Consider the following 8,513-nt stretch of genomic DNA (forward strand, 5'->3'; position numbering starts at 1 on the left):
TACTGATTTTCTGTACACTTCCCCCTAATTTTTTTTTTTCATATTTGAAATGTTTTGCTAAGGTCTTCTTTTGGGTATAATATGTGATTCTTAGTTTTTGATCAATATAAATACAAACACCCAAAAACTTACCAACCTGTTGGAAATCACAGTTCTTTCATAGAGTATACACAGCATGAAAACATTTTATTGTAAGCTAACTCTGAAAAATTACAAATGTTGATTTGTTCTCAATATGAAACTAAAATTTCTGAAGGCGAGTAAGCATTAACCCACTGCAGTCATTCACACTTGAACCAGAAGCCTGTGATTTCCAAGGTATCTAAAGTTACCTCTCAATGCCCAAGGCATAAATGCAATAACCATCACTAACTGTTATTGGGTTCCTAGGTCCACACAGTCATAACTCACTGTAAAGTTTTAGTTCTTTTAAAATATTGATGACGTTTATACTAGGAAAATGTGACATTTCATTCTCTTTGTTATAATGGTTATCAACTGATGATTATTATATTTCAGTCATAAAGGAACAATCTAAAGCATAGGGAATGTAGATTTTTCGTTGTCGTTGTTGTTCAAAAAGCTATTAGAAGAAAACAAATACGGATTAGGGCATAAACTTCTTTTCCTTCCAAATGTGGTGAAAACAGTGGGATGTCCTTTTTTGATAAATATGTCTAAGAAAGAACTGAAAGGCTTGCTGAGCCAGAAACATAAATGGCTTTGATAGCACTGGAGTTGAAAACCTTTATTTACATTCAGTCAGTGTGAATGTGAGCTTCCATATGGTCAAACCCATGGCTAAGGAGTCTATGGGGAAGGTTAATATGTTATCTGGCTCTGCTCACACAAATTATATTCTGATGAAAAACATTTGCCCTCTCATAGTTTTCTTTCTTTTATGAGCCTTCCCATACTATTCTCCCCCTTGGCCTACAAACAGATTGCCTCCTCCACCAGGACAGTTCAGCATTATATGACTCAGAGGGCAAGTTTCTTTCCTTGTACTGTTGAAAATTAATACCTTGCTAAGGCATTTCCCCCAGATTCCATTAGCTGTTTGAAATTTAGATACAGATAAACAGAATGAAAGCACATGCTTGGCTTAAGTTGAAGGATTTTATTGCTTAGTTATGTTAGTGATGATGAATGGTAATGGCTGTAGTCATTTTTTCTTATGTAACATGAAAATATATTTTTTACAATGTTCTCCTTGCACATTTATTTTCTGCAATTCAAATGCTCACTATATAACCTCTAGCTTAAGGCTATTGCATTTTAAGAAATGGATGAGATAGAGAGACATGGAATAAAAATGAAACTGGTGAGATAGCACAGTGCACTTAATCATTCCTTTGTTCATTCTGTCATTTATTCAATCAACACATATTTACAGAGGTTCTACCTACAAGATGTAGCACTTTCAACAGTACTACATTAAGATTCAGACGTGCCTGAGTATGCATAGCGAGCCGCTGAACATATTCTCAAGGAGATGGCTTGCATGAGAACTTCTTTGTTTTAGCAAAAGGTTAAATGGGAAATCTGGGGATGTTGCCACCTACAGATTGAGACTAGGATGGAGGTGATGCAGAACAATGCAGTGTCTTACCTTTCCCTGAAGCATGAATTGGGTCTGAGGTCTGAGGTTACAGAAATGAAGGGAAAGTGCAGAAGCTATTTTCATGTAGCATAATATATGACGCCAGGAGACAACCTTAAAGTCCCTGAAATTCTCACATCTCCAGAGAATAAAACATGATACAGAGTGGAGGAAAAGGACTTTGTTATTTTCCACCATCAGAAAAGTACCAGAGAAACCAGGATGCTAAGTGGTCAATGAGGATACCTTGCCCACATTTAGTGCTGAGCAGTTGCTTAACTGAGTAATATAAAGATTCTAGCATTATCAGACATGCATAGGATCACATATCAGGCATTTCTTGGGGACTCCCAGAAGTGCTTCAAGGGTAATTTCAGGTCATTGGAATTCTGCATGAGTAAGTGTACACAAGAACAAGTAGGGTGTCTATTACTACTGATAATTTCACCTCACTTCTGCCTGCAGATTGTTGAAGCCTAGGAAAAGCAGATCTCACTTTCAAGGGGTAATTTAGGTTTTACATACTAAACAGAGAAAAAAGGGACCTTCATTGCATGTGACCAAGGTGCTCATATGTTAGACAAATAGAAAAGTGAGTACAATGTACTTTGAGATGTGTTGTGATATGTCAGAGAGCAGAGATACGTGACAGCACAGACAATGCATATCTAATTCAGACTGCAAAACTGAATTTCTGTATATATATATGCTCTTCCTCTATATATATATATAGAGAGAGGAAGCATAAAAAGGCACAACAACAAGGGAACTAGCACGACATTTTATGGTATATTCATGAATCTGCAAGAGCTTGGTTGTGTTTGAATCACAGCTTTCAATTAGAGTATAAGCGATAGATAGATAGATAGATAGATAGATAGATGCATACATACATACATATGAAATACTTGAAGATGTGAGTATTTGAAGATGTTTCAGCTCACACCAACATGGCTATATATTAAAATAGTGGAGTAATGAAGCAGTTTAGATTCCTATCTGGTTTCCTGCCCATTATTCCACTTACTATAATAACTTCTTTTCTTCTCACCCCTTCTTCTGGAAATAAACTCTCTGATCCAAATTACCCCACACTGCATCCAAATGGTTAACTTCAGAGCCCCTGGCCACAGATGATTTGTCGCTGGCAGGGCTGAGGGGTAGCTCTAGACCCAAGTTCAGCCAATCCTACCCTTCTTTGGATTTTATATAATGAATAGTGAGATCAGACTATCTCTACATAACTAAAATTATAATACATAAACTAAAATATTACAAGTATCCATGTTCTTCTGTGCAGATGGAGGATTATATAAAGCCAGTATTCAGCAAGACAGAAAAATGTAATAGAGGCCCAAAGAAAAGCGAAAATGAGAAATGGAGAAAGTAGTCTGATGACAGTTGAGTCCCTGGGGGAAGCTTCTGCTGAGTTCCAGATACCACTATCTCTAGTTTCTGTGAACATCCCTGTAGCATTGTAACAAGTTACACTTTTGTTCAAGCTAATAAAAGTGTAGTGTCTTGTATGTATAAAAGAAAAACAATGGTCCTGAGCAATGTATCTGTTTTAAAATTTTCAAATACATAAATTTTTAAAAGAAAATTAAAGGTGGCAGAGAAAACAGATGGAATAGTCCTACTACCTTATGTGTCACTTGCAGAAAAATTCAAGAAAAGAGAAGACAGATCACTATGGAAAGAAGCCACTCTCACAGAAGACAAGTTCTTGGCATCAGCATGATTAAGACAGATACACTCTAGCCTGGTATGTTGGCAAGCAAGTGAAAAGCAGGAGGAACTTTTTAAGTCAGCAGTGGGGTGGGGTGGGGTGGAATTTTAAATTCGAGAGTAATGGCTCCTGAAGTGAGCCCAGCCAGCATTTGGTAACCATGAGAAAAGATTTCTAGTGTTTGAAACTTAGATGTCAAGAAATGCCGGATGTACTGATTGGATAGAAAGTATAATTAAGGGATTAGAAGGAGTGAAGGTGCTTTGATTTACATTTCTCTGTTACATTATATTTTAAATAGATCTTTAAAAAGTTAATGAAAATTGGAGGATTACATCTCCTATGATTACCTACTGATATTTAAGTGATCTTATCTACCTGGTTAACACAATGTCTTATTCTTTAACACTGGCCTTTAATTTCCTTGGGGCAAAGTTGTAATGACTTGATTAATGTAGTTATCAGATGCTGCTTAACTCAGTTACAAGTGCTTGCCATCACAGTACATGCTACAAAAATATTTACATTTCATGAAGAATATAATCATTTATCTTGTTGTTACACTAAAAAGTGATAGTGTTCATTCATTCGTTATTCAATATTCATTGACTTTGTTTTAGCCAACACTGGTTATATGTGGGAAATACGGACATGTGACTATAAAATTCATAGTCTCTGCTCTAAAATAGATATCCAGAAGATAATAAAACATAGAAAGGAAATTATTTCTTAACTATCTCTCACTCAGAAATCCACAGTTGGGAAGAGCAACTAGGTACATCAGACATCTCCATTTACCTCAAGGCATCTATTCCAACTGCATACATCTGCCATGGCAGAGACAGCTGGGCTTTGCAAATCAAAATCTATTTCAGTTGTAGAAATTTAACATCAGTCCAACTCTATTTGGAAATATAATGTAAGCTTTCTGTTTTGTTTTGGATAGGATCTTGCTCTGTCGCCTAGACTGAAGTGCAGTGGTGCCATCATAGCTCACTGCAGCCTCAAACTCCTGGGCTCAAGGCACCTCCTGCCTCAATCTCCTGAAGCCTGGAACTACAGGGGCATGCCACCATGCCTAGCTAGTTTCTAAATTTTTTGCAGAGAAGGAGTCTCGTTATTTTGCCAGGGCTCTTCTCAGACTCCTGGACCCAAGTAATCTTCCCGCCTCAGCCTCCCAAAGGCTTGAGTTACAGGCAGGAGCCACAGCACCAGGCCAGCATCTTTTTTTTTAAATCTATTAAGAAATAGTCTAGGCTTCTATGTAGAGCAATGGAACATACAATATGAGTTTTGTTTTAAACATTAGATAAAGAGTATATATAAATCTTGTGTGGTTTGAGGAGTCTCAGTTTCTGGAATTGATCAATTTGGGTCACTGAAAATTAAACTGCCTCGGAGAAGGTTTACTTGCCCTTTGATGCAAGGGGGCTTATAACAACTTAAAAGCATATTTGCTAACAAAAGGATTGTGCTCAGTGAATTTCTATTTTCTCATATTAAGTTCTTAACCCTAGGCCATACTCTACTATGTGTCCATGGATATTGTTATGATCTACCATTTGTCATATTTCCTCTGCTTCTCTAGTCATTTCACCTGAAGAGAAAATCAGCTTCAACTTCCATTTTCTCACTCAGTCTTCTTGCATTTGAATACAGAAAAAGTAAGAAACCCTCAGCAGAAAAATCACCAAAATAACATAAATTTCTAGAAAGTTTCCGTGTCATATCAAAACAACTATATATTTCACTCTGACAATGCCGGTGATGCAAAAGGGACAAAAATATTTAACCCTGTAAAAATTTTACTTTTGGGCAATCAGGCTCTTTCTTTGCTCATGAAGTAAATGGAAAGGAAAAAAAGTATTTGAAGTGTATTGCCCTCATTTTAATAATGATAATAAAAATAAATTTTCATAATTCTTTGCAATTTTTTTGAGCATCATGCCTCCCTATCAGTGAGACAGGGCGGACACTGGGTGAAGGAGCTTGTATCTAGAAGAGTCACCAGACTGGGTGGTAGAATATGACTTAGTCATGATGCTGCAGTGTGTGAGGAACCAAGAGTGAATTCAGGGAAATGGAGAGACAGGTATCCATTCCGGAGCTGTACAAGCAAAGTCTGAAAGCCGAAGAGATGAAAGAGAGGCAGGTATAAACCAAATACCAGGATAATTAATAAAAGCCGATGTTAAAATAGATTTGCAAAAAATAGAACACACTTGCCAATTAAAAATAGGACACACTTGTCAAATACAGGAAACACTTGCAAATAAGTGAAGTGAGGGGCAGAGAGTCACAATTTATATTAAAAAAAATTCTTACAGACATGGCTCTTTTGCAATAGCATAAAAGCATTTTTTAAACTTCTTTTTTGTTTTAAGTTACAGATAAGTAAATTGAAGATCTGATAGTTATATGATTAATTCAAGCTCACATATCAAATTAAATAAAGACACATATTAAATACTCTCACTATAAATATTGTGTCCTTTACATTCAAACAGATTTTAAATAATAGTTCACTTAATCCCAGCATAATGGTAAAATGGTAAAGACCACTCATTTTTGCCAGTGTAGAGAAAGTTACTGCATAGTTCAGTAACGTTATAATAAACCTAAATATTCAAGGTAATGGTATGGTTAGAATGAGGCAGAAAGGTCAAAATTGGCCTTAAATTTCTAATCCATTTTATAGACCCTAAGTCACACATTATTAAACAGTAGGGATATGGTTTGGCAGTATCCCCACCCAAATCTCTCCTTGAATTGTAATAATCCCCAGGTGTCAAGGGTGGGGCCAGCCACAGCTAATTGAATCATCTGGGCGGTTTCCCCCATACTGTTCTCATGGTAGTGAATAAGTCTCAGGAGATTTGATGGTTTTATAAATGGGAGTTCCCTGCACGAGCTCTCTTGCCTGTCACCATGTAAGACATGCCTTTGCTGCTCCTTCACTTTCCATCATGATTGTGAGGCCTCCCCAGCCATGTGAAACTGTGAGTCCATTAAACCTCTTCCCTGTTTAAATTACAGAGTCTCAGGTGTGTCTTTATTAGTAGCATGAGAATAGACTTATACAGTAATTATAGTATTTTTTAATTTGACTCCTTTTTTCAAAATCATACATGAGATAGAGCAATCATACACAGAAAGAAATGATGTGGATCGTTTCCAATCATCTTCACAAATTCAACTTTGTAAATCTTTTCAGTGAGATTAAAAAATAAGGCCATCAAATATTTTAAAATTCATTTGCCTTCACAATGACAAAGTTTAGAGACAAACAGCTAATCAAATCGGTGATACTGGGCCACAAGAAAGTTGTGTTTCTAGATGACATGCACCTATTTTTCATATACTTTTTTAAAATTGGATTATCAAAAATTTAACAAACATTCATTACAAACAGGCAGAGCAATTTCCAGTGTGACTACCTGAATACCTTCTGTTTGTAATCATCATCTGAATGAAGATTCACCACATGGTTACCTAAACAATGATGAATTATTTATACCTTTAATGAAACTTGTATGTTAAAATGTTAGTAATTGCATTTTAAAAAAATAGACACACAAAACAGAAGAAAATCATCTGACTGAGAATTAAGATACTGTGATACACATAAGACAGCTTTTCACAGCTTTATGATGTATTGTTGATTTAATAGCAATTGCTTTTTTATATAAAATATATTTTATATTAGTACACATTAATTGAAATTTGTCCTCAAATTTAGAAATGTTTCAATATTTTTTAAATGTGTAGTTTTTTTGGTAGAATTGTAGCACCTGGTCATTACTAGATGTTTATGTCAAAGAGAATGAACAACAAAAACAGCAGATACTGTTGCATGTTTTAGTTGTTCTACATCCAAAATTCCCTGTTTCTTAGCTTACCGATATGTATGCATGGCCATGTAACATTTGGCCTATGGGACTTAAGGAAAAGCCTGTTGGATGACACATACTCAGCTAGCAGGCTCTCCGCAGCATCCTGTTCCTCCTACCCTAAACTGTGATATGGTGCTGGAGGTGGAGAAGGCTTCTAGCAACTTGAGGTCAAGGACTGACACATTAAGATTGGAAGATCAGAAAAACAACAGAAGCCTGAAACACTGGAGATATGATGGAGCCAGTGAATTACCACTAAACTGCTATTTTCAAGATTCTTTATCTAGGAGAATAAACTCCTACTTGTTTAAGCTCATGTTAAGTGTATTTACTGCAGTTCAAAGCATTCCTAACTATATTGCTGCTCACACTCAAGTTAACATGATGAAAAAATTGATGTAGACATAACATACATTTGCACAAGTAGATAGTAGAGGGGAATTTGAAAAAGCAAGCATTATTAACTCGTTTCAGAGCAAAATAATTATTTTTTCTGAAATTTGGGGAAAATCAGAGGATAGAAGTTTCACTACGACAGCATTCTAGACATTCAAAATAAAGTTTTTTTAAAGTATTAATTTTCTTTGTATGAGTGGGTCTTTCAAAATCCCATACATTCAAGCAGTTTCTCTTATACAATTCCCCCAAAAGGAATTCTTTATCTTCTATCAAAATTTTGGTACACTTTAGAAGAGCTTTTAAAATTTTATTTGAGATTATTTTGTAAAAAAACATGCATTCCTAATTTAGAAAATTTGGTGAAAGAGTTTGTATTAGAAAGATGTAAAAGTTGTTTATATTTAAAAAGTTCCCCACCTGTGAATTAAATGGTGGGGGATAATGTTTCCTTAAAAGTAAATTGAGAGATTGCTGCTTCTGTAAAAAGAACGATTCACAGAGTTTGCTTTCAGCTTAGAGCCCCAGTGGGATAGCATTTCTTTCCGTTCGTCTGCTAACACCACAGAAAAGGAACAGAGGAATAAGAAGCAATAGGATGTCCCTTCCAGAGACCTTGAGTGACAGTATGGCAAACAAGGGTCATCACTTTAATTAGCTTTAATAACCCAGAGCCGGGTGAAAGATCTCCTCCTGAGACTAAAGTTGCTAGCTGCTGAAAGGATGTTAGTGAAAATTCTGTTATGTCAAATGTCTTGCCGCATGATTTGAAGTTTTTGTTAAGGAATCCAGGAAGTTAGAGGCTTCTGACTAATGTGAGAGGCAATCAAAAAGGAGATAAAATCTAATGCTTTAAAAACACATTTATTTAAGCAAAACACCGGCTTTTTTG

General features: G+C 35.8%; 1 protein-coding gene across 4 annotated transcripts in view; it reads right to left on the reverse strand.

Moving 5' to 3' along the window:
• The window catches only part of LRRTM4 (leucine rich repeat transmembrane neuronal 4), a 774,692-nt gene that overhangs the window by 229,557 nt on the left and 536,622 nt on the right, over nt 1-8,513 (reverse strand). The gene's annotated exons all lie outside the window — the stretch shown is intronic.

This window comes from Homo sapiens, chromosome 2 (genome assembly GCF_000001405.40).
Source record: "Homo sapiens chromosome 2, GRCh38.p14 Primary Assembly".
Lineage (NCBI taxonomy): Eukaryota > Metazoa > Chordata > Mammalia > Primates > Hominidae > Homo > Homo sapiens.